This window comes from Homo sapiens, chromosome 1 (assembly GCF_000001405.40).
Source record: "Homo sapiens chromosome 1, GRCh38.p14 Primary Assembly".
NCBI lineage: Eukaryota > Metazoa > Chordata > Mammalia > Primates > Hominidae > Homo > Homo sapiens.
The window spans coordinates 244,408,226-244,435,362 of record NC_000001.11 but is presented as its reverse complement, the minus strand read 5'-3'; the positions used below and the strand labels follow the sequence as shown (position 1 = coordinate 244,435,362).

At 37.3% G+C, this 27,137-nt stretch overlaps 1 protein-coding gene across 5 annotated transcripts in view; it reads left to right on the top strand.

The window, feature by feature from the left end:
* The window catches only part of ADSS2 (adenylosuccinate synthase 2), a 43,567-nt gene extending 16,698 nt beyond the window's left edge, over positions 1 to 26,869 (top strand). For 3 of the 5 annotated variants that reach the window (XM_047447585.1, NM_001126.5, XM_047447581.1), the window contains 10 exons: positions 2,768 to 2,818; positions 10,976 to 11,042; positions 11,303 to 11,410; positions 12,447 to 12,528; positions 15,067 to 15,193; positions 16,449 to 16,603; positions 17,611 to 17,735; positions 19,285 to 19,382; positions 23,927 to 24,076; positions 25,725 to 26,869. In XM_047447585.1, coding sequence (XP_047303541.1) covers positions 2,768 to 2,818; positions 10,976 to 11,042; positions 11,303 to 11,410; positions 12,447 to 12,528; positions 15,067 to 15,193; positions 16,449 to 16,603; positions 17,611 to 17,735; positions 19,285 to 19,382; positions 23,927 to 24,076; positions 25,725 to 25,777 — 1,016 coding nt within the window. In that variant the 3' untranslated portion in view covers positions 25,778 to 26,869. Of the gene's footprint in view, positions 1 to 2,767; positions 2,819 to 2,952; positions 5,333 to 10,975; positions 11,043 to 11,302; positions 11,411 to 12,446; positions 12,529 to 15,066; positions 15,194 to 16,448; positions 16,604 to 17,610; positions 17,736 to 19,284; positions 19,383 to 23,926; positions 24,077 to 25,724 lie in introns of those variants that run through there. The other 2 variants (NM_001365073.2, XM_047447587.1) reach the window with 2 other exon arrangements.
* Positions 26,870 to 27,137: the final 268 nt, after the last annotated feature.

Genomic DNA, 27,137 nt, shown 5'->3' with positions numbered 1-27,137 from the left:
TCCAAAGTCCAAAAAAAATCTGAAATCTGAAATATTCTGGTATTTGGAATAAAGGAGACTCAACCTGTAATACATAATTGAGGAAAATCATTAGTATAGTTAGTTTCCCCTTGAATTAGCTCACATTTAAAACACTCAATTACTGTTATAGTATGTTCAGGTTTGTTTTTTTTTTTTTTTTTTTTTTTTTTTTTGGAGACGGAGTCTCTCTCTGTCACCCAGGCTGCAGTGCAGTGGCGTGATCTTGGCTCACTGCACCTTCTGCTTCGTGGGTCCAAGTGATTCTCCTGCCTCAGCTTTCTGAGTAGCTGGGACGATAGGCACGTGCCACCATGCCCAGCTAATTTTTTGTATTTTTAGTAGAGAAGGGGTTTCACCGTGTTAGCCAGGATGGTCTCAAACTCCTGACTTCGTGATCCACCTGCCTCGGCCTCCCAAGGTGCTGGGATTACAGATGTGAGCCACCGCGCCCCGCCCTGTTCAGGTTTAAAAGTAGCAATCTGTCTTCAGGTGTTCTTAACCACTACAGAACCCTGTCTTTGCTACCATCTCTTTTCTCCTTTCTGCGTTTTTACCTGTGACCTAGTCTGTGATTTTTATATTGATGCTGCTCTCTGCTCTCATCTCCTTTAATAAGTTTGTCCTACTCCCTTTTTCCTTCTAGCCTATCCAACCCTGCTCTTTATCTACTTTACTGAATTTCTTGGTCCTATTTTCTTTATTATATCTCCTAAACTAACTTCAGAATACATGTTTGTATGTCAAAACAACCGTAGAAGGGGAGGCTTAATATTCCAGGTTTACCTTTTAGCACATTACCGAGGAGGTTCTCTTCCTTAATCTATAAGGAATATATTTTAAAAATAAATCTTCAGGGAAAAACAAATTTTTCATTGTTAAAGATTAGTTTTGAAATGTTTGCAGCTTAGCAATTTGTCTTTAGTATTGTCTTTAAAGAAAAACATCGATTTGGGTTCATTTGTTCATTCAAGCGTCTTTTTTTTTTTTTGGAGACATGGTCTTGCTCTGTCGTCTATGCTGGAGTGCAGTGGTGTGAACACAGTAGTGAGCCTCTACCTTCTGGGCTCAAGCAGTCCTCCTGCTTCGGCCTCCCGAGTAGCTGGGACTGTAGGCACATGCCACCATGCCTGACTAGGTTTTTTAATTTTTTTTTTTTTTTTTTGTAGAGATGGGGTCTTTCTGTGTCACCCAGGCTGGTCTCAAACTCCAGGCCTCAAGCAATCCTCCTGCCTTGGTCACCCAAAGTGCTAGGATTATAGGCCACTGCTCTCAGCCAAAAGTAATTTTTAAAACCACTTACTGGATAACAGGCCCTGTGCTATGAAAGCTCACAGCCCCTCCTCTAGGTCTTCCACAGTTAAATGGGGGGACAGATATACCTCACAATTCACTGTAGTAAGTACAGTAATTGACAGTAGTACTTTAGAAGAATTAATGAAAAAGTTTATTTTCTTTACCTTTTTTTTTTTTTTTTTTTTTTTTAAAGATGGAGTCTTGCTCTGTTGCCAGGCTGGAGTGCAGTGGCACAATCTTGGCTCACTGCAGTCTCCGCCTCCCGGGTTCAAGTGATTCTCCTGCCTCAGCCTCCCGAGTAGCTGGGATTACAGGCGCCCGCCATCACGTACCCAGCTAATTTTTGTATTTTTAGTAAAGACGGGGTTTCACCATGTTGGTCAGGATGGTCTCGATCTCCTGACCTCAGGTGATCCGCCCGCCTTGGCCTCCCAAAGTGCTGGGATTACAGGCGTAAGCCACCGCACCCAGCCCATATTTGTTATAACTATCTTTTGGGAAAGGATGCCATTCCTAAAATTAACTCCCTTCTGGCAAATTTCTCCCTGCCAGGTACCTAACCTCCCCAGCATGATGTTTTTCTACCATTTGCCTTTTGGATTCCTAGAAGTATTTTATTTGGATGTGACTGGTTTGAATTTGGAGCTTTTAGAGCAAGACATTTGGAAAGATAGCATGTGAGTGAATTTATGTATGGAATGAATGACATGTGAGAAAACTCTTGTTAGACATGATGTTTCCTATACAGAAGAAAAGATACAAACTTGATTGCTTCAGTAAAAACACTTTTAGAGATTGTGTTTCCTTTTTTGTGAGACAGCATCTCGCTCCGCCACATACACTGGAGTGTAGTGGCACAATCTTGGCTTACTGCAACCTCTGCCTCCTGGGTTCAAGTGATTCTCGTGCCACAGCTACCCGAGTAGCTGGGATTAGATGCACCCACCACCACACCCAGCTAATTTCGTATTTTTAGTAGAGACGGGGTTTTACCATGTTGACCAGGCTGGTCTCGAACCCCTGGCCTCAAGTGATCCACCTGCCTTGGCCTCCCACAGTGTTGGGATTACAGGTGTTAGCCACCACGCCTGGCCTAGACATATTTCTAAAGAAATTAAGATCTTAGGCTGAGGTGGGTGGATCACAAGGTCAGGAGATCGAGACCATCCTGGCTAACACGGTGAAACCCAGTCTCTACTAAAATTACAAAAAAAAAATTAGCCAGGTGTGGTGGCGGGTGCCTGTAGTCCCAACTACTTGGGAGGCTGAGGCAGGAGAATGGCAGTGAACCCGGGAGGTGGAGCTTGCAGTGAGCCGAGATCACACCACTGCACTCCAGCCTGGGTGACAGAGCGAGACTCTGTCTCAAAAAAAAAAAAAAAAAAAAAGAAATTAAGATTTTAAAACTGCTATACAAAATATTCAATTAAATATATCTTTTTCCCCTTTCTAGGACTAGAAGGCTGGGAAAAAAGGCTTATTATATCTGACAGAGCTCATATTGGTAAGGTGGATATATTGCATTTATTTGTAACTATCTTTTTATCTGAAATTTATCAAATGAAAGTATTTAGTAACTAATTTTGTCTTTTATTTTTATTTAGCGTAAGTAGGATGGATTGTAGTAATTGAGTTCTAAATACAAAAAATACTTACTAATTTTTTTCTTTTTTAACAGTCTAGGCTGAAATTTACCTGTTTGAAAAAAAGGTTAGCTAAGCAAATTTATAATACAAGCAGTATTTCATAAGACATCTCTAATTCTATTTAAAAATAAGCCATATCAAAATGCAAAGAACATTTATTTGTATACGTAATATTCTTGTAAAAGTAAGTGTACCGTTTTGCAGATAGAGTGACTCTTTGTGCCTAAAATGTAGTAGTTATTGCTTTTTAAGTGATTCAGATTTTATTCAGACTAACCTAAATTTCAACCACTACCAATAAATTTGGGATTTTCTTCTCTGTTATTTTTCTCTTTCAGAACCAATGGAGTTGTTAATTAGCAGTGACATGATTTAAGAGACAATAACCAGAAAAGAAATAAGTAAAAACCACGTAGGAAACTTCTCTGTGATTGATCTGCACTCTTAAATTGTATTTAAGTATGCGTGTGTCCTGTGGCAGTAGCTGCTCTAGTTTTAACACTGGCCTCTATTTAAAAGGCAGCCTCATCAAGATACTTACAGTATTTCTCAGCCAAGCACAGAAATCAAATAACGGTCCCTCCAGATAACAGCCACAGACTTGAATCCTATGTATAATCTTAGTAACCCAATAAAATAACTTATTTGAAGTAAACTCTATTGGATTAACATACAGTTTCTATATGAAACTGGCCTCTTCATTACATTGTTTGCCACAGGCTTCTTAATCTGTAAAGTCTGAAAAGAACAATTTTTTGTTTTTACTGAAAAACAGTTTTATGTTAATATTTGTTGTCCTGTATGTTGTCTATTAGTAGACTGGTTATCCTTGAAAACAAAGACTTTGATAGCTGTTTGTTAGTGTAAGTGGATAAAATGTGGAATACTTCTGTATTTAACATAAAGTAAGCTTGTGAGTAGTTTATATTTCACCTGATTATACTTAAACTATGAAAATATTATCAGTAAAACTTTTATTTAAAAGACACCTTATTTCCAGAATTATTAATGGCATAGATGCATAACCAAGACAAAAAACAAAGGAAACAAAGAAGCTTTGCAGTCCCAAATGATAACATGCAATTTGGATAAGGACAAAAGGGTTTTGTTTTGGTTTTCAGAAGAAGGAGGTTGTCATTTTTGTTGCCTATTTTAAGCTTCTGATTTTAAAAATATTTATATTTTGTTTGTTAGCTTATCTTAGAACTTGAATTTTAAACTTATATATCACTATTGTGCTATAATATAGGAAGCAATAGAGTATTACTAATATTCTTTTTTTTTTAGACAGAGTCTCACTTTGTCACCCAGGCTGGAGTGCAGTGGGGTGATCTCAGCTCACTGCAACCTCTGCCTCCCGGGTTCAAGTGATTCTTCTGCCTCAGCCTCCTGAGTATCTGGGATTACAGGTGTGCTACCATGCCCAGCTAATTTTTGTATTTTTAGTGGAGACAGGGTTTCACTTGTTGGTCAGGCTGGTCTTGAACTCCTGACCTTAGGTGACCTGCCTACCTTGGCCGCCCAAAGTGCTGGGATTACAGGCGTGAGCCACTGCATCCGGCCCAACTAATATTCTTTCTTACTGGCAGTCTCCTAGTTATATAAGGAAAAATATGTTTTTGTGAAGTACTTTTGTAGCATTTTTGTTTGCTTACACTTACTACTCATTAGCTTTATTTATTCTGTTACCAATAGTCATCTTTATCTTCTTTTACCTTCATGATTTTATGTGTAGCTTTTTGGTATCCATTGTTCCTGTTGTGGATAAAGCAAGGCGCTGCATTAGATAATGAAAACCACTGCTTATCTTCAGAACTTTCCAATGGCTTTTTGTTATGTTGTCTGCTCTGTGAAATTCAGTATCTTAATCAGCATACCGCAATTTAGGATTGCAAAACAGAATAATCCCTAACACCTGCCGTTTGAATAACGTATAGCATCAGTGTATATAATCAGATAATTGGGCTATGTGCAGATATAAATATACGCTGATGATATCAGCCTGTTGGAAAGAGGTTAGTGTTAAGAGACATATCCCTGTTCCTGTCTGGATTCTCCATCTTCCTTCTTCATTGCAATTGCTTTGGGTCTGTCACTTAACAGTTCCATCCTTGGTACAACATAGAGGTTAAGCAAGTTACTTAATTACTTTAGACCACCAAAACAAAACAACAAAGTAGTAATGGGAAGGGGTCAAAAGGCCTAGAGTAAAAGGAAAGTAATGTGGTTTAACCATAATAAATGTAAATGAATATTATTATTTTATTTATAGTTATATTTCTTTAATTATTTTTTCCCATAAGTGTATGACCTTAAAGGAAAGTATTTCTGACAGAGGACTGAGCCTGTAGAAGATAAGCGCAGACTGAAATGTAGGTGTTAGTGGTCATATGTGTCATAATGGGTGTGTTAATGCTTTAAAACGTATATCACTAAAAGCCTGTAAGGTTCACTTCCCAGGGCCCTTAAAAAGTCTTATAAGAAACATATTTTTTATTTTATTTTATTTTATTATTTTTTTGAGACAGGGTCTCATTCTGTCACCCAGGCGGGAGTGCAATGGCATGATCTTGGTTCACTACAACCTCCACCTCCTGGGTTCAAGCGATTCTCGTGCCTCAGCCTCCTGAGTAGCTGGGATTACAGGCATGTCCCACCATGCCCGGCTTATTTTTTTGTGTTTTTAGTAGAGACAGGGTTTTACCATGTTGGCCAGGCTGGTCTTGAACTCCTGACCTCAAATGATCCACCTGACCTGGCCTCCCAATTACAGGCGTGAGCCACGGCCCGGCCAGAAACATGTATTTTAGTATAGTCAATTCTATAATAGTGAAAAGGAATAAATAGTATCATTAAAAAATCAAATAACTAATTGGAAAATTGTCTGAGAATCGTTGCTGTGAAACCACTTCGATCTTTGCTTTAGAGACTCCCGCTGTCACCATGGCACTGAACGGACAGTTCTGTAAGCTCCATTGTAATTTAAGGCATTAGAATTCTCATTTCAGAACTGAATACAGGATCTGGCATATAGATGCTTCAGAATGTTCATTTATTTCCAAGGATTTAAAAAATTTTCCATAATATGAGATTCTGTATAAAAGTGTGCTGGGTGATATGGAGCGTAGTACAATGGAAAAAACTATAGGCTTTGAAATGGAGGGATCTGGATCGAAATCTTGATTATGGATCCTCTGGCAAGTGATTTCCTTTCCGGTCATTAGTTCCCCAATCAGTAAAACACCTTACACAGGTTGTGTCCACAAAGGAAAGAATTTTATTTATTTTATTCATATATGTATACACCCAACAGCTAATTTAAGTGCTGTACTTGGTCAAGATGTACTGTTTTTTATCCTGACAAATACTGCTCTGTAGTTTTCTTTAGTTTTGTTGTCTGTTTCAGTTTTAGTGCCTTCTATTTTTCTGAAAGTTATGTGTGAGGTTGGTAATATTTCTTCTTTAAATGTTTTATAGAAAATCTTTGTGAGGAAGTTTTTATGAATTCCATGAATGTTATGAATTTTATTTCTTTAATAGATATCGGGATATTCAGATTTTTCTGTTTCTTGTGTCAGTTTTAGATATTTATGTTTTCTAAAGAAATGTGTTCATCTAACTTATGAAATTATTGGTAACTTTTTTAGTCTTCAGTAATGTCCCTCTTTTATTCCTGGTATCCATTTTATTGATTTTGTGGGTTTTTGATTTTTTTTTCCCCAAAAAATAACCATTTTCTCTATTTTCTGTTTCACTGGGTTCAGCTCTTTCTCTTCTTTCTACTTTCTTTGGTTTAAATTTGCTCGTTTTTGTAGTTCCTTTAGAAGCTTGGATCATGAACTCTCAACCAACTGACCTCCCTCCCTCCCTCTCTCTCTCCCTCCCTTCCTTCCTTCCTTCCTTCTTTGCTTCCTCTTTCTTTTCTAATGTAAGCATTTAAAATTACATGTGTTCCTCTAACACATGTAATTATGTTAGCGATATTCCGCAAATATTATTTTTACAATCATTTCCATTCAGTTCAAAATAACATAATTTCTATTTTAACTTATAAGTTGAGTATGATGTTCATGTTTCCAAATATTGGAAGATTTTCATGATTTCTCTCTATTATTTATAATTTAATTTTATTGTGAACAGAGAATATGTATGATCCTAATCTTTGTTGAGACTTCTTTTATGGCTCAGGATGTGGTCTGTTTTGGATAATGTCTTCATGCACTTAGAAAGAATATGTGCTCTGCTCTTGTTGAGTAGAGTGTTCTTTAAATGCCAATTAAATCAAATTGTTTGATAGTGTTGTTCAAATCCTATATCCCAACTGATTTTCTATGTGTGTATTCTATCAGTTACTCGGAGGAGTGCTGAACCTCCAACAGTAATTGTGGATTTGTCTGTTTCTCTTTTCAAGTCAGTCAGTTTTTGCTTCATGCACATTGAAGCTCTGTTAGGTACATGTATGTTTACAATTCTGATTTTGATGCATTGAACCTTTCCTCATTATGAAATATCCTCTTTGGTATTAACAACCATAGCTTTTTATGATCAACAGGTTTCCCTGGTACTGTTAGTAGGAAAGTTTTGATGCTGTATATACTAATTAGTTACACTTCAGAAGCTAAATTTGTATTATGTGATTTAAAAGTATCTAATAAGCTATGATTGTTAATACCACAATATCCTTTTTATGGTAATATTCCTTATTCTGATATCTACTTTGATATTAATATAGCCACTAGAGTTGCCTTAAGATTACTGTTTGCATGGTGTATCGCTTTCCATCCTCTAATAATCCTTAGTGTATCTGTGTCTTTAGATTTATAATGTATTTCTTATAGACAAAATGTAGGTGGGTCTTGCATTTTATTCATTGTGACAATTTCATCCTTTAATTGGAATGTTTAGACTAGTTACTTTTACTATAGTTAATTATCACTATGGTTGGATTTATGTCTGCCCTTCGTTTTCTTTTTATTTGTTCTTTTCCTGCTTTCTTTTCGATTGAACATTTTTAATATTATCTCCACTGTTAACTTACTAGCTATACCTCTTGTTTTATGAATTTATGAATTTTGGTAGTTGCTCTAGGGGCTGTAATATGCATCTTTTACGTTACTTGAGTTACCTTCAAATATTTCACTTAGAAGGTTTAAACAGTTGATTTTTTTAAGGAAACTTAAAAATTATTAAGTTGCTGGCCAGTTCTTTACATTAGTATACTAATGCAAGGACCTATTGCATTAACCTTTTGCCCTGTTCACTGAATCTCATAATTCAGTTTGTACTATAAGAGATGCTTTTTCAGGGAAAATGGCCTGAGAAGTGGTTGAGACACTTAAAATTTAAATATGAAATCCAGATTAGTTAGGTGGCTGTTCTTTTATTTAATATCTATGTATTAAATGCCTACTGTGTCAGGTATGGTGCTGAGCACTAAGGATTCAGCAGTAGAAAAAACCAAAAGCATCCCTTAATGGAGCATATCATGTATTAGTGAAAACAAATCATATCAATAGAAATATGTAATCGATGTAGCATGGCATATAGTGCTCAGTTCTGAGGAGAAATAGTAACTCAGAGAAAGGAGCTAGGCAATGGCAGGCAGTTTGGAGGAGGAGGTAGGGGCCTACAATTGTATATAATGTGGCCAGGGAGGTTTCACTGAAAAGTGACAGTTGAGTAAAGACCTCAGGGAGATGTGAGAAAGCAAGCAAAGTGGCTATTACATGTACCAAGTCTCACACCAAGCATAGTATAACATTAATCATATTAATAAAACTTAACTATAATAGTAAATTAAAAATTTAAAAATGCTGTTAATAAACTTAGCTAAAGGTGCACAGTTATGATGGTTTTTTTTGTTTGCAGTATCTAGGCTGTAGAAAGTGAAACAGATATTCCAAGGCTGTTCTTTCAAAACAGTAATAGTGGAGGCATTAATGCTCCATGCCATGGTGAAGTCTTATGAAAGTAATTATTCTGATTACAGTAATTGCTTCCTGGGGCCTAGAAAAACCAAGGAAAGCATTAGTTCTATGACAAGGTACTAAATTAATTTCTGAAAAATATGGTTCACCTGCTTTCCATCAACCATTTATTTGTGTGTTGTCAGTTGCTTTTTTACTTTCTTTGAGCATAGAAAACAAAACATTTACATTCAAATGTCTTTTTATTCAAAAGAAATGAGAATGGCGTACTCTAAGATCTCAGTCTTGTCATGACTGATTTGCAAAATCAGGGTTTAAAACAGCCCTTCAGAACTATTCTGGCCTCTCAAGTAACTGAGAAAGACTATTGCTTGGGCAATAAAATGGGAACATGATGATAAACTAACCCTTATAGCTCAGAATTATTGTTTACATAAAGAGTATTTATTCTTTTTCATTGCTATATAGTATCCCCTTATATGACCATTTCACACTTTTAAAAATCCATTCATTCTACCATTGATGAAAATTTGAGTTGTTTCCAATATTGGGATATTACAAATACTATTACCCTGAGCATTCTTGTAGATAGATATCTTTTGGTGTGCAGTATACTGATATGGCTTTAAAGATGTTACTTTTATCTAACTGTGTGGCACTAAGACAGATACTGCTTACTAGATATTTTTAAATCACACATATTTAGCTTCTGAAATATAACTAATTAGTATGTACAGCATCAAAACTTTTCTACTAACACACCAGGGAAACCTTTGATCATAAAAAGATATGATTGTTAACCTTGCCAAACACAGGGGGAGGACTGCCTTGATAGTTTTAGTAGTGTCTCAAAAGGAGGGAATTAGAGAAGAGTACATACATGGTTTTAGGGGCAGGGTTAATCAGAGGATGGGTTTAGATTGGGTTATCAGACTTTTCTAGCTTCACCATCTATAACTTCAGTATCAGTCTTCTAATAGTTCTAAATAGTTCTTTTACAGATGCTACCACTAATCCCAAGAACCTTATATCAGTCTTTCTGTTAAACATCTACACATTTCAACTTAATTATTTGGAAACAGTGACATCATTAGCAAAAAGAAGCTATGGTTAAATATGCTAAAAATCAGTAAATTGTACATCTTAAATGGATGAATTTTGTGGTGTATAAATTATATTCCCATAAAGCTGTTTAAAAACAAAACAGAAAACAAGAAGCCTTGGTTAGAAGTTCAGAGACCAAAATTCTAGTTTTGCCTCTTCTATAAACCATCTATTTATTGAGTCAGTAAATATTTGAGGACATGTTTGCACCGGAAATCAACTAGTAGGCTGAACTGACATGATCCTAATACTCTCAGAGCATTGGCAGGGGAGAGAGGGAGTACAAGTTATGTGTAGGTGTAGAAAGAGGCAATATTTCATGCAGAAGTACATGCCTTGTAGCTGAGGGCTGCAAAGAATGCCAGTGTGACCAGAGGGCAGTGAGGGTGGCAGAGCATGGTATAAGATGAAAGTGTAGACTGAATTTTGTCTCTTTTTTTAGAGCAGTGGAAAGCCATGGAGTTTTAAGGGCAGGGGAGGTGTGAATGCCATATTTGTGTCTTGGAAAGATGGCTTTGGCTGCATGACAGCATTTGGATTAGAGATGTCTAAGAATGGAAAGAGGTACACACATTAGGAGACTGCAGTTTTGGTGAGAGGTGATGGAAGCTCGAGACTAGTGAGGAAAAGGGAGGTGTCAACATGAGCCCTAGATTCTTGGAGTCCAGAACTTGAAGAAAAAAGAGTATTTTTGTAAATTGACCTTTGTTAAATTTTAGGGCAAGATGTTTCAAAATTACCCTCTTAATGACTTATTTTTTAAAATAGTATAGACTGCAATAAATAAGAACGAAAGATCAGACATTTTCATATTAATGTACTAGTTGGTGTTATAAACTTCTATCATCACTTCTAAAAATGTGTTTAATTTATTATACTGAAATGAGGCTGAAGGGATTTATAACTTCAGTAATTTGAAATGCGGTGGATTTTGCTTTTGTGTATTATCTTTGTTTCAACAACTGTGGTTTTATTTCCCCTCAGTATTTGATTTTCATCAAGCAGCTGATGGTATCCAGGAACAACAGAGACAAGAACAAGCAGGAAAAAAGTATGTGTGGGTTTTTGTTTTTTTGGTACAGTTTAAGCATATGCAGACCTTTATATTTTAGTTCTAGACCAGAAGTTTAAGAAAAATAAGTATTAGAATATCCTGTTTTAGAGAAAATCAGTAGGATTATGAACATATACTTAGCAAGAAATAACATAAACAGAAAATAGTCATATGTAACTTTATTCACTGCAATGATCTGACCAGGAGACCTACATCTTTCTTGTCTGACTTAAAGCTTGTTTGGATTTGTTTTTAAGTTTGGGTACAACAAAAAAGGGCATTGGCCCAGTTTATTCGTCCAAAGCTGCTCGGAGTGGACTCAGGATGTGCGACCTTGTTTCTGACTTTGATGGCTTCTCTGAGAGGTAACTAACTTGTGTTTCAAAATGGAAGGAATGAATGCATTTTTTGATTTTTTTTAAAATCTAGGGTGCAAAATGATACAGTCGGTATTCTAGTTAAATAGTGGTGGTTGGCTTTTTTAGGTTTGAAATATTAAAGTTATTTTTATTACATTCTAATTCATCCTTGGTTACAGATTAACTTCATGAAATATAACATGACGGTGATTTAATAGAATGTCCTAAGAAGACAAAGCCAGAGTTATATTTAAGAATTGAAATATGGAATGGTTTCCTGAGAAATAGAATGATTCCAGGGGCTGTGGCTGTCCTTGGGTGGTTACATTCTAAGGTCTTGATCCTTGCATTTTCAGGCCTAGAGACTCCTTATGTCCTCCCACCCAGAAATCATTAGCTCTCAGATACTGGTGAATTATTGTATACCAAGCTCAACTTGAAATCAACAGATGCTACGTTAACACATGCTTTCTGTAGCCAGATCTCCTTGGGAAACCTAGTAGTCATCAAAAAGCTACTCAGTGACTCAATGATAGGGAGTTGGTTGTGTATAATAACAAGTGGCATCAAAGCTATAATGACATTGTATCCCCTTTCGATCAACCACTCAACATTTGTCTGCACTGGCAGTGCACCTTTACTGAAGAATATTAGATTGCTAATGTCTGCCTCTCTCTCTTTTAGAAGTATCATGTAAACTGCCCCCTTTTGTTGTTGTACAGTATAATACAGTTAATTCAGATTTAAGTCTTTTGTGTTTACAGATTTTAGTCATTCCATTTCTCTTCCCTCCCTACACACATATCACCTTAATTATATTGTTGCTATGCCTAAACTTGAGTAAAAAAATAATTTGAATGTCTTACTTATTCATATGGCTGATCTCCTTTATTAAATTTTATTTCTCAGAAGGTGACTTCAGTTTCAGGATTAATTTGCTGTTAAGATCATTTACCATCTGCAGAAACCATTTGAATGAAATGATATTATTTGAAATATTTTTCACAGAGTGGTAATGTCTTGATTTATCTGTGTTTCTCAGGTTTAAAGTTCTAGCTAACCAATACAAATCTATATACCCCACTTTGGAAATAGACATTGAAGGTGAATTACAAAAACTCAAGGTAATGCTTTCTGGCATCTTTAATGTTCTTTTTAATACTTGTTTGCCAAATTGGCATCTAGATCTTTTCATTCATGCAGGCTTTGGGTAAGAACTGGCAAAGGAAATTGTTTGTCTTGGACATGGTATGTTTGAGTGACTTTACATGATATGGCTTAGACAAAATATTGAGTAGGGAGCAGGAGGAGTACCTGAAGTAAAGGAGACAGAGTCCAGATCATATGTCTCATGTGCAGTGACAGGGAGTTTAGATCTTACCCTGGAGATAATGAAAAGCTACTAGGAAATTTTGAACAGAAAGGAGACTAGATTTGCATCATATAAAAATCACTTCTAACAATTGGAGGACAGATCAGCAAAGGCTGAGTGAGAACTTTTGAGGCTAACCAACCCATTTAGGAAGGATAACCCCATAGGGCCAGATTCTTTAGCACTGCACTCTTAAGAGACAAATAAGGTAATTGACCAAAGATTAGTCTTTTCTTGGCAACTAGTAGGTGTCAGTGGTGCTTACATTGGCCAGTAGTTGAAATTCCTGTCCTCTTCATTCTTTCACCTTTTACGATTTTTGATGAACTTCAAACTGTTTCCTGTGAATCTGATTATTACTTCTTCTCATCTATAGATAAGTATCAATATCAGTTCCAGAACTAAGTAGGAATCTACAAACCTCATATGCCATTCTAGAATAAATGCAGACCTTAGGTCTGCCCATCCACTAAGTTCTAAAAAAATATGACCTACAAAGAACATTCTAAATGTTAGGTATTTGTATTTCAGTGCACTGATTATTGTGTAGAATAGACTGCCATTTTCTTTTTATTCAGCTATGCAATAAATATTTTATTTTATTTTATTTTTTGAGACAGGGTCTCGCTTTGTCACTCAGGCTGGAGTACAGTGGCATGAACACAGCTCACTGCAGCCTTGACTTTCTAGGCTCAAGGGATCCTCCCTCCTCAGCCTCCCGAGTAGCTGGGACTATGGGCACACCACCACACCCTGCTAGGTTTTTTTTTGGTAGAGATGGGTTTTCACCATGTTGCCCAGGCTGGTCTTGAACGCCTGAGCTAAAGCAGTCTGCCTGCCTTGGCCTCCCAAAGTGCTGGGGTTACAGGCATGAGCTACCATACCCAGTCTGTTATGCAACAAATATTTTAACTTTTTGACTAGCAACTTGGAAGTATTTACTTGCCAAACTATGAGTATGGCTTTTCAATTCCATTTTATATGTGTTCCATGTGAATGTAAAGTAGGTGAAGAATAATAAATAGAATTAGGTAAGAAGATTCTTATAGGTAATGTATGTTGAACCAGAATTTTAAGGAACAAAGAACGTGATGACTAGTGTGGTCATTTCAGGCATAAAAATAGGACTAAAACAGGAATCAGTCAGAAATTGAAGACTATAGCCCATGAGTGATCATACATTTATCAGTGGGTATTAACACACTCAGGTGGGTTCATGAGTAGATTCTGGAATTTCCATAATAGTCTACATATTTAAACATAGTTGAACCTAGGTTTCATGCAGTTATGCTATAGGCCTTAGGGGAAGCTCTTGGTTATTTTACATTTTTAATTGAGTTCTGAAGTTAAGCAGTAATACTAACAATTAAATGTTTTGAGAAATTTTTATAATGCCCATGTGTTACATAGTATTGGACATTATCTACTAGTAATAGTGTAGAGATAGACATGTTACAGTAATAGGATAAAATTTAAAAGAATAACAGTAATCAATCACTAATAGTTGCATACTTGGCAGTGTAACTCGTGGCCCTGGCAGTGTAACTCGTGGCCCTCACCACATTTTGAGAATCACTGATGCAAGTTTCAAAATTCATGGTTGGCCAAACACAGTGGCTTACACCTGTAATTCAGCACTTTGGAGGCTGAGGTGGGAGGATCACTTGAGAACAGCCTGGGCAACCTGGGCAACTCACCTCCACCAAAAGAAAAAGAAAAAAATTTAGGTGGTCATGGTGGTAGTGCAGCTACCCAGGAGGCTGTGGTGGGAGGATCGCTTGAGCCTGGGAGGTCGAGGCTGCAAGTGAGCCATGTTCCCACCACTGTACTTCAGCCTGGGTGACAGAGCAAGGCTCTGTCTCAAAAAATGAAATAAAATAAAAAATTTATGGTTTTGTGGATTATATTATAAATGCAGCTTTTCAAATACCTCACAAAATTTAAAAGCACATTGTAATATAGTCATTTATTTTTATTTTCCTGAAAGCTGGTTTATGAAGTATGACTACTTTGCTGGGAGGGTTTTATTTGCAGTGAGGTTAATATAGAACCTTTGAATTTCACTGTATCTCTAGTTTTTGTTGAGCAATGCTCTTTTCTGTTCCTGGAAAATCAGCATGAGACATGAAAGCTAATCCAAATGTTACAATAGAGTGAGCACCGTCACCAGCCCTTTTCTACTTTGCGTTTGTCAGTTTTCATGTCATAAAGTCAGGTAATTTATTCTTGTTCTGGTTATGTTAAACGTTTATTAGTATACATGGAAATTGGTTTTTGTCTTTGTGTATAGGGTTATATGGAAAAGATTAAACCAATGGTGAGAGATGGAGTTTATTTTCTATATGAGGCCCTACATGGACCACCAAAGAAAATCTTGGTAGAAGGTGCAAATGCAGCACTATTAGATATTGATTTTGGTAAGTGAGATATGACTTATAGTTAAGGGAGCTTAACTGAGCCCTAAGTAGTTAAAATATAAATAATTAATGTTAGCATTAAGGAGTTTTAAAACAATGTTTTTAGCTTGTATATTCAGGAATGATGAAATTTGTCATCTTGTGGCACTCTTTTTAAAGGAATATTGCAGAACACACAATACATGTGTTACGTTCCCTATTTTATTAGAAAAATAAAATCATCATTTGAGTTCAGTAGGTCTGAGGTTCTGTAAATTGTGGTTTTCGTTGGTTTATGGTTCAAACCCTGGAACTATAAGATAAGATAAATTCTATGGAAGAATCTGCATCTTTAATTCAACCTTTTAAAAATGTGTACATTATTATTAAGCAAGATTTATAAAAGCCTATTTATATAAATTAACTCCCTGGGCATGAGACTCTGAATTCAGAGCATTTCCTTCATCTTCAAAAGGTTAATTAATGCTTAACTTCTTTTGTCAAACTACTGCCTCATTAGTTTGTTGACCGTTTCATTTAAACATGATTTCTCATGATTAGTCTGATTGTTCTCAGCTTTTACTGACATTTCATTGGCTTTTACTGACATTTCATTGGCTTTTGACTCCAAGTAAACTATTAAAGAAAGTGTATTTCTGTATGGTAGATATGTATTTTTGATACCATAGTATGTCTAGCCAGTCTGGAAAGAAAACAGAGTGTCTACTTGGTAGAGTGAATAGTTAAATATGAAGGAGATCTTTGGGGGTGAGAAAGTATGCCACTCTTTAATTAGCTCTTATAATTGGAGGGTTATTCCCTGAGTAGAGATTAAAAGCTGGGGAAATGTTGAATCCTACAAAATTCTTGTGTTGCCGTCACTCCAGGTTGCTACAACACTTTAAATATTCGTATGAGGGAGTCATATTTGTTTTACACTAACAGGAAACTATGAAAATAAGTAGATGAGTTTCAGCATTAAATTTCTTCATAATCCAGTAAGTGAGTAGCTGCTATAAAGAGCTGAGTCAGTAACTGTACATGCATTCAAGGAGCCTCTCTGTATAAGCACTTGCGTTAAAGCTCTGACCTCGTTTTTATGTCATTACAGCTAAAATGAATAAAAAGTAAAACACTGAGTCTTTGAGAGGGCAGTTACAGTTCAGATCTGTTAGATACCTATAATATACTCAAATGCAGAATTGTAACGGTAATTCTGTTTTAAAATGTGTTATTCATGTGTCTACTATATTTTAATGTCTGTTTCTGTTTTTAGGGACTTACCCTTTTGTAACCTCTTCAAATTGTACTGTTGGAGGTGTTTGTACTGGTTTGGGTATGCCACCTCAAAATGTTGGAGAAGTGTATGGAGTTGTGAAAGCTTATACAACTAGAGTTGGTATTGGTGCCTTTCCTACAGAGCAAGACAATGTAAGCCTATTCTAAGTAAATAATCAAAATGTATTAAAAATTCATTCTTCTTTTTTTTCTTAATGAATTATTGTCTCCTGTGCCTTTCACTTAATTTGCAAGATTGGTCAGAACAACATTTTCTTAAATACATAATTTTGGCTGGACGTGGTGGCCCCTGTCTGTAATCCCAGTGCTTTGGGAGGCAGAGGCAGGCAGATCACTTGAGCCCAGGAGTTCAAGATCAGCTGGGGCAACATGTTGAAACCCTGTCACTACAAAAAATACAAACATTAGCTGGGTGTGGTGGCATGCACCTGTAGTCCCAGCTACTGGGGAAGCTGAGTAGGAGGATCACTTGAGCCCAGGAAGCAGAGGTTGCAGTGAGCTGAGATGGCACCATGGCACTCCAGCCGGCGCAACAGAGCGAGACTCTGTCTCAAAAGATAAAATAAAGTCAACAAAAATAAACAAAAACTATGTAATTATAATGATGCCAGAATATAAGAGATAATGAAATGATAGCTTTAAGCAGAAAGGGGCAAATCAAGGACTTCGGTAGATCATAGGAAAAACAAGTTGTAGGGAGTGACCTTAGCTTAGATATTTGAGCATGTTTTCGATCTTAGTTTTCTTCAGAAGGGCATTATGATATCAATGACTTATTAGATACATTTGCCTTATGGTTTTCAGGAAAAGCATCAAACTACAGCTCTTGGAAGAACTGGCTGGATTCGTCTATTTAATAAATACTTTTTTTTCTTAATCTGTCAATCTAAATTTTAGGAAGTTATCTGTATAACATTGTAAAAAATATTAACATAAAAAAATGATAATAAATGAAGCATTCCAAATAATGCCTCCCTCAGATAAAATTCATCATCTCTGTGGAATTCTATCTTCAATTTAGTTATTACCTGAAAGATGTTTATCTCAAAGAGGCTTTGCTATGATCTCTAGCATATATTATTCCACCAGATATATAGCACTGCTATTCTAATCCTAAAGTTCAATTTTCTGTTCTGTAGGAAATTGGAGAATTATTACAAACAAGGGGTAGAGAGTTTGGTGTAACTACTGGAAGGAAAAGAAGATGTGGCTGGTTGGACCTCGTTTTGCTCAAATATGCTCATATGATCAATGGATTTACTGCGTGAGTATTCTTCAGAAACATTTATTTCAGGAAATCATAGATGATTAATGGCCATAGGTTTAATTTTGTGGAGTACCTTAATAGGAAAATTTCACTCTTTAGACTCCATATTGAAATTGTAGTGCCAGGCAGAAGTAGACCAAGATATAGGGGGAAGGGTACACAAGGAGAGAGATCCCAAGTTATCCTCCTAGACATCCAAGGTTGTTGAAAAGAATCGTGATACTCTAAGTATAGAGGCAGGCAGAATAGGGTATGTAGGCAGATAGGTGGACAGATAGACAGGTGGGTAGCACAGACACCATGAGCATGTACAGCCGGGAGGCGATGTACCTAGTGATCCGCGCATGGGCTTAATGTCTGAGTTCCTGGATTCAGATCTCAGATCTGTGCATTATGCTTGTGTAGCTGAGCAAGTTAATCATCCTCTGCCTCTGTTTTATCCTCTCTGAAATCTATATAACAGCATTACCTACTTCATAGGGGTATTTTAAAAATTAGGTGAGAAACGTAGTGAGAGCCTATAGCACACTGCCTGGCTAACTGAAAGTGCTCAGGGAAAGTTAAGTTGTTATTAATACGTATACATGAATAGGTAAATAAATGTATTCATATCTGTATTAGACTGAACTTCCAGTAAATAACAATAAAGTTAAAAATACAGTTTTTGGACGAGAATCCCAAATTTAGTTTGTTATCTAATTTCTGCAGATTTTCTCTTTAAAACCTGTTTTCCAGTCAGTTTGTCGGGAAATTTTGATGTATCATGAAGAGGTCCTTGATGTGGTTTTTCTCACTCTTTGACAATTTCTGACCAGAAGGGTAGAGGTGATGGTAACCAGAGTGAAGAATTGAGGGATGCTGGCATGTGTGTAAATGTACATGTATCTTAATCATCCATGTAGTGTAGTGAGTTCTGCTGTGTTCCACGGCCACAGTGCAACCTTAACTCCAGGCAGCCCTCCCACAAATACATGTTGTTTGTTCATCAATCATAAGAAAGCTGATCTGGGCATGGTGGCTCATGCGTATAATCCCAGCACTTTGGGAGGCCGAGAGGCAGGAGGATCACTTGAGGCTGGGAGTTCGAGACCAGCCTGGGCAACCTGGTGAGACCCTGTCTCTACAAAAAATACAAAACAATTAGCTGGGCCTGGTGGCACACGCCTGTAGTCCCAGGTACTCAGGAGGCTGAGGTGCAAGGATTGCTTGAGCCCGGGAGGTTGAGGCTGCAGTGAACCGTGTTTGTGCCACTACACTCCAGCCTGGGTGACAAAGCGAGACCCTGTCTCAAAACGATCAAAAAAGAAAGCTAAGCAAAATTCATCAGTGAAAATCTGTTACAATTACTAGCAAAGTAACTCAGTGTATATTGTCCTCTAGCGTCTTATGTGTGGCACGCTTTAAAATATAATCCTAACCAGTTTTCAGAATTGCTTTAGAACTTTAAGCTTTGCATGAATTTTTCTTTACTCCTGCATTAATCAAATTAGATATTAGAGGCTTTAAGAGTCTGCTCTTTTAACATTGCCTTTTCTTCCAAAATTAGGTTGGCACTTACCAAGTTGGATATTTTGGACATGTTTACGGAAATCAAAGTTGGAGTTGCTTACAAGTTAGATGGTGAAATCATACCTCATATCCCAGGTATTTTCTTTTAGGCAATATCTAAAGGATATTATAAGGTGAATGTATTAGAGCAGTTTCATAAAGCTCTTCCATATAATTTGTGATAGATAGCGACAGGTTTGATATGCCCTTTATGATTAGTGCAAATTTGCTCACTTATTATTAGTTATTTGGTTCATAGCTAATACTTATTTAGGTGTTGGGTCACAACAAGCATGTGCTCAAACTCAAAAGAAAAAACATGGACCTCTGAGCCTAGCCATACAGCTCTTGAGTCTCATCTTCCCTCCTTTGAAAGCAATTTCCATGGAGGTGTTTCTTCCTTCCTTGGGGAAGTATGCCACTCTTGAGAGTGAATAAGAAGAGGGGTAAGAAGAGCCCTTGTTAAGCTGGCTCTCAGTACATTAGCCCTCCCTATCCTTCAGGCCCCATGAATGACTTTCTCTGCTCTTTATTCTATAGTAGTCATTTGATAAGGATTAGGAATATGCCAAATGAAGGAATATTGACTAGCTTAATAAAACTTGATGAGCTGGTAGGTTTTGTGACTACCTTATGACTTCTGTTTCTTAGGAATTAAGGTTAGCTCTAAGTTCTTAGAAATTAAATGCATATTATCTTTCCTTGTCTTACATGTATGTAAGTATAGAGGGAGTCTAGATATCTTATAAAAAAGTATCTACTGCCATTGTAGGACAATATTCACTTGGAAAACTGGCTGTTCCAGTATATGTTATGTCCTGGTTCTTAATTCTATTTACAAAGCTATTTCAAGAGTTATAACTTCAAACACCAAAAAGAACAGTCTAACCAAGTATAATGACATGTGGCAAGGTCTGTCATCTATGGTAATGTACTCTAGAACATTACAGCAAATTCTTTTAATTAAACTATTAAAAACTAACAAAACACATAAAACTTGTCCATTTCATGTGTTTAATTTTAAAGCTGTTTTTGGTCAAGATCCCCCGGAACCACTCTTGAGATGGAGATTTGTATCCAAGAAGTGTAGTAGAGAATGCTTTCAGCAGTAGCACTTATGAAAGAAGCAGAGGGACTAGTTGAAATACAGTGCAGCCAATCCCATTGGGAGCCACAGAGCTAGGGTGGCCCTTTAGAGTTATACTAAATTGAGGCTAGTAGCCAGAGCTTTGTGCCTCCCAACAACTAGCCACGAAATAAGAGCTGTTCCTCAAGTGAGGTAGCTCCCTTTGGCCAAGAGCAGTTCCTGGAGAGGGACTGAGCTATGAATCAGCAACATGCAGTACTCCCCACCAGCAGCAGAGAGTGCTTAAAGAGGGTAAAATAAGTTGACAGCCTTCTGGGAATAGCTCCTGTAGGATTCTGGTTGTTGTCTTTCCTAGGGAAACTTATAAGAGGAAGGTTAGTGGAGTAAATTAGCCCCTATTGTGGCTATCACAGCAGGAAAGTAGAAGCAAAAGTCCCATTAAGCTTTAAGCTAAGGCTCCCCCTATCATGTTGGATTTCATGTGCCAAAGCCAGCAGGCAAGGAATGGAGTCACTGGAAGAGGTAAATGATTCTGATCAGCATCTCCAATATGCTTTTAAACCCACTGGTGAATTTTTATTTCTAGAATTTCCATTTAGCTCTCTTCTCTACTTCCTATTTCTCTACTGAGATTCCCTATCTGTTCACTCAATAACAATGAAATTTGCTTAATTTATATTAGCTACTTTTTTTCTGTTAGTCTAACATTTAGACCATCTCGAGCTTCTCTTGACTATTCTTTTGCTTGGTTGTGGATCACTGTTTCTATGCCTAATGACTATTGATTGATAGTCATTGGTTGACAGACATTGTGGATGATATATTAAAGAGACTCAGATTCTGTTATCTTCCTCTGAATAGTGTTGATCCTTGTTTTAGGGGACGATTGAATTATTCACTGATCATCTTGAACTTGTATAGTTTGGTTTTATGCTTTGTGTGTAGTTACGTGGAAAACCCAAGATGTTTTTCAAACTTTAAGCTGGTATGAGTCAGTTTCCAGGATCTATAGATCTTGGCAGAGCTTGGTTTTTGGCTTCATTATGGGAGGTTTGTAATAGGTTTCACTCAAGGGCGTGGCTTTTATTCTTAAAGAGCAGCCTTTCTGGTGGCTCTGCTGGATACCAGGAGAGTTAAGGTATAATAATGAGATCTCTTCAATCCAGCAGTGCTGGAGCACCAGTGTACCCTGTCCCTTCCTTTTCAGCAGCACTACTGACTTCTAGAGTCTTTGTTCCACCCCCAACTGTGTAGCAGCTGAGGTCTGGTAAGCCTCTGATGGTCCTGCTCTTTACCTGTGGCGTCCTCCTGTAGCCTTGGGACTCTCACATGGACTTCTGGGGGGCCCTTCTCTCTACAGCTCCTGTCTGATGCCTGGCGCTGCTGATTCTAGCTGCTTCAGCTTTCCTGAAGTCAACTCTCTACCTCCCCAGGTCAGTGGAGCTGCCATTCTCTGCTGACACCAGTGTTCTGAACTGTGGTCAGGAAATGGTCCCTAGGCAGAAAGTTGGGTGGCTTCTGGACTTGCTTGTGAGTTTTCTCTCCCAGGAGCCATGGCTTTGTGCCTGCCTGTCGTTCACTGCCTAGAAAGAGTTGTCATTTTGAGAGCTGGTTGGGAACTGTGTATTTTATGATGACTAGAAATGGAAGCCCCACTGATTCTCTTAATTCCTCCTACCATCTACAACAGCAGTTCCGGCATACCTACTTAGTATGGTTCATTACTTTTTCTAAGCTTCCAAGAGCATTCCTAGCAGTATGTTTTCATCATCTCTGTGTCATGCATCATGAGAGGATAGTCCCATACCAATATAGTCTTACTCAACTTTGTTCTACCACCTGCTGCCCCCCTTGACCCAGCATCCTCAGGATCCAGTTCCATATACACTCTCTTGGTACCTACTGGCAAATGTTGTCTTGTTCCTGCAGATCTTTTAGAATACAGTCCCTTTCCTTCCTTAGTAGGCCCAGTGCTTCCTTAGCCAGGTTACACTGGGACCTGAACCTAGTTATTTACTGGCCAGGAGGGGGAAGGTGAAGGTGGATGTGAGATGGGCACATGCTGCCTTGCAAGACAGAGGCCTCTGCATCATCTTCAAGCAACAGGATGCCACAACCTTTAATAGGAAGTAATGGGACCTTTTGCAGACCCAGAGAGTTTGGAAAATCTAGGGATTCAGGATTTTCAAGTATGTCAACTCAGATGTCCCATTCAGTCTCAGGGCCCCACTTTTTCCCAAACAAAGCTCTGACTTTGCCATAGCAAACTTGCTGGATTGCAGAATTCAGCTTTTTCTGGAGCTTTGCAGTCTGTATGATTGAATTCTCATCTTAATCATTGTCTTTTTCTGCTCTCTGCTGTAGGAGATGGAATTTTGTCTAAGTTCTGCCAGACAGGTTTCATTATCTTTCTCCAGTTCGTGAATAGCGTTCATCAAAAGCCATCCAGTTCTGTTGTTCCACCGTGCTCGAATCTCAGTGCCTCAGATAGAGGCTATCCATACTCTATGTACCCCAGTGGCAGTCCTCATTGCCAGCCAGCCAGCTAGCCAGTGATTCTGCCTCTTAGTTCTCATTTTAGAGCTATCTTCCTCTAACCATTCCTGGTGCCAGCTATCTTAGATTGAGTTCCCTAGGAAACAGACTCCAATGTAGAGATTTGCACATAGGCGGGTTAGCTCATAAGTGCACTGAGCAACAACATCTGTGAGGGAGTGGGAGAAGCAGGATTAGGCAGAGGGAGAAATTGCACTGCAATATAGTTGCAAAAAAGCCTTCACTGATCCCATAGGGAGCTCTGGAGCTAACATAGCCCTTGAAAGTTGTCCCAAATTAAGGTTAAGTGCCCAGGTTGTTTCTATTCCTACATTGACAAGTCAATGGATATGGGCTGCTGGGGGGCAGCAGCTCCCTTTGGTGGAGGACGAGTGCTGCAGAGGCTCTGAACTGTGAGTGGTTCAGTAGGCAGAGCTCCCACAGCTCTCAGTCTTGAGAGAAATCTGGGCAGAGTACCATAGCATCCACTGTATTGACTCAAGTCAAAGAAACTTTTCTTTAGTACATGTTCAGTTTCCATTAGGGGATACAGAGAAAATACGTAGAATAATGAAGAAAATTTCAAGTAGAACCCTAGATTTCTCAGAAGACAGCAGGTATGCAGGCCTTCTTTCTGTGAAGTTGCTGTCATGCAGATCTACAATCCCTAATCAATAGAATGGAAATTCAATAAGCTTTAAAACTGGAAAGTTTTAAGTTTGGCACCCAGATTCATTTGGCAGCAAAACCAGTCTTGAACTAATGTTAGTATTACATAATCTTTATCCTCTTATAGCAAATGATCATATGCGTTGCTGCAGAAATATGTTTGATTATAGAATACTACTCCAGATGGTATTTGCGCTGTTTTACCTTTCTACTACCTGAAGAATTCTAAATCCCAAAACATATGTGGCTCCAAAGATTTTGAAAAGACATTTTGAACCTACAATATATCAAAAAGTTGTTTGACAGTAAACAGTGTGTGCCATGAATAAATGTCCTCTTTAACTTTTAGCAAACCAAGAAGTCTTAAATAAAGTTGAAGTTCAATATAAGACTCTCCCAGGATGGAACACAGACATATCAAATGCAAGGGCGTTTAAAGAACTACCTGTTAATGCACAAAACTATGTTCGATTTATTGAAGATGAGCTTCAAATTCCAGGTAAACATAAACACTTTGTGAATAAGTTTTTTCTTTTCTCTCTCTCTCTTTTTTCTTTTTTTTTTTTTGAGACGGAGTCTCGCTCTGTCCCAGGCTGGAGTGCAGTGGCGGGATCTCGGCTCACTGCAACCTCTGCCTCCTGGGTTCAAGCTATTCTCCTACCTCAGCCTCCCGAGTAGCTGGGATTAGAGGTGCGCGCCACCACGCCTGGCTAATTTTTGTATTTTTAGTAAGAGACGGGGTTTCACCATGTTGGCCAGGCTGGTCTCTCCTGACCTCTTGGTCTGCCCACCTCAGCCTCCCAAAGTGCTGGGATTACAGGCATGAGCCAGCATGCCCGGCCAACTGTCTTTTCTTTTAACTTGCCTATGTGCCTTTGAAATAGAATAAAGGAAAGATCATTGTTACTTTACAGAGTGCACATGATTTGCATAAATGCCCAGGAAGATACAAAGTAATATTTTTATTCCTTAAAGTAAATACGATGCTCATCTTTAAATAGAAGATAATAGATTACTTCTCACCCTTTCTGACCCTGTCTTTAATTCTTAGTCTGTTTTTTTTTTATCCTGTGACATTGTCTCATTCACTTCTCCCTCTTAATAACAAATCCTCATGTATCTCTACCACCACAAAAAATGTTGTGTGTTTTTGGGGGGTTAAAAATGGTTTATGGTTTGTTTGGGTTAAATTACCCTTGAGATTTGGAGTTTCCTGAATATACACTGGGAAATAATTGGTATAGAAAATGGGAAATCTCACTAGAAAAAAATGTAAGAAAAAATTTTTAAAAATAATTAAGCCTATTTATTAAAGAACAAATATAAGATGGCGAGGGAGTTAGGCATAACAACGTATGGCTGTATCTAGTTATGTGAAGTCATTCTTTTAACAGATGGCTTTTTCCTTGTATCGTTTTGTTGGCATTGATGGATATTTGAAACATAAGAAAAAGTGAAGTGTGTGGGATGTGTCCTCCGTGTAAAATCTCTTTTGCCTTGTGCTTCGTTTCCAGCATGATTCTTGTTTTCCAAATTACTAGTTGCCCCTCCCAGCATGATGTCAAATTTAGTAAGCATATTTGCTTACTGCTCTTGGTCAGCATTTTCTTGAAATATAAACAGCAGTGAGTCTAACAAAAATCTGTAAAATACCACGAAGGTTGATCCTAACAGTACCTTATGGAAGCTGGCAATTCTGCAAATAATCTGAAACCATGTGATGCAGATGATTCGATTTCCATAGACTCCTGTAGTGGGCAGTTTCTGAGGCTGTGCAAGTTAAAATCATATTCTCATCTAGATGTTGAAGATGCTTATCTTGGCCTGTTATCAGGAACTTGATCACCAACTTTCTGTAGGTCTCTGCTGGTGTTGGTCAATATTTTACTATCCTAAGTCATTAGGAAAGTGAAAATATTGCACAGTTAAAAAGGGAACAGTAAGGCATACTGTCCTGTGCTGGGTCTTATTTGTACATCCTGTTTAGAAATCGGCACAGTCTGCTAACAGAATAGAGAACAGCAAAAAGGCACATAGGGAAAAGTTATGGTGATACTGAGAAAAGTAGGGGACTACCTGTTTTAATCCCAACGAGTGAACATTAGAGATGAATTGATTCAATTCCTTTTCTCTTTGTATTCTCCTAGTTAAGTGGATTGGTGTTGGTAAATCCAGAGAATCTATGATTCAACTCTTTTAATGATTGCCAGTAATGCAAGAAACACTCCTTGAGAGGGAGGGGAAAAGACTTTCTTAAATATTTCATTTATGACCTGCAAATTCAAGAATAAAGACACTGAAGTAAGTTTGAAGCCCTACAGTTGTTTCCAGTCTTTTCAGATGGATGCCTACTGTGGAGATTAACTTTGGCATATTCCAGTGTCAGCTTTCTTTAGCTGGAATTGCCAAATCATTTGTTGCTCCTGCTGCTCTCATGGTGCCACGTTTTTTTTTTCAATGTTTAGTAATAGTATAATCCATGTTGTTTGATATCAAAAGTAGAATTACTTTTAATGTAGTTTTTCTTCATTATTGTCATTGCGTGTTCTTAAGTTTTACCCCTATTAGATGGTAAGAACAATTAATGCAGTTTTGCACAAATATTTTTACATTCTGATCATTCAGTTCTGTCATTGTAATCTTTGTTGTTAGAAACAAATGATGAAAACATAGGGGTTCTGTAAACTTTTGTAATGCTATGAATTCTGTTTAAATTTTGGGCTGTCTATTTTCTGCTGAAACCATGCAAAATTGAGCTTTGGTGGGGCTGGGAGGGGGTTATGTATTCATGGGACCTTTAATTTGTACAGAACACAGAACTTATTTCTGTCAGTTATTTAATACATTGAAAATTTAGTGAAATGTTCAAAGAGAATAGATGTTTCCCAAAACAACAATCTTTATGTTAAAAATAGTCATTAAAAGATCTGTTGTAATATATGGTGGATATTTTTCTTTAATTTCAAACATTACCTCTGAAATGTGTATCTTTTCTTTTTTATCTTACCATTAATTTTAAATCTAGTGGATTGGTTTTCAACATCGTGCCTGCCGATATGCCTACAGAATCATCTGTAAGTGTCAAAATGAACCCACGTTGTTAGCCATAATTTTGATTATGCCTTTATTTCTCCTTTCTTGAAAAAAAAAAGGTGTTATTTTGACAATTAGGCATAACATTGTTTTGTAGATTATCTTTTAATGAACTATTTTAAATGTTAAATTAGGTGCCACTTAAATTTATTTTATTACACCATGAATAGCTGATTAAAAGAACCAAATATTTCTAGTATGCTTTGCGTATTGTGTTTTTGTTCTACTAAGAGAGGTTAGTAATAGTATATAGGAAGGAGCTTTATCTCTGTAGTGTAATACTTAGTTCAAGAAAAATTCTCAAATAGGAGCAGTATCGTTAGACTCAATAAGTATAAAGAACAATACAGATTATCCTACAAGCCAATTACTGATAGTAATGACTTACATGTAAAAATAATTTATAATGAATATATAATTTCTGTTTAATAGAGAATGAATGGGCTTTTAAAGTCTGCATTCTTATC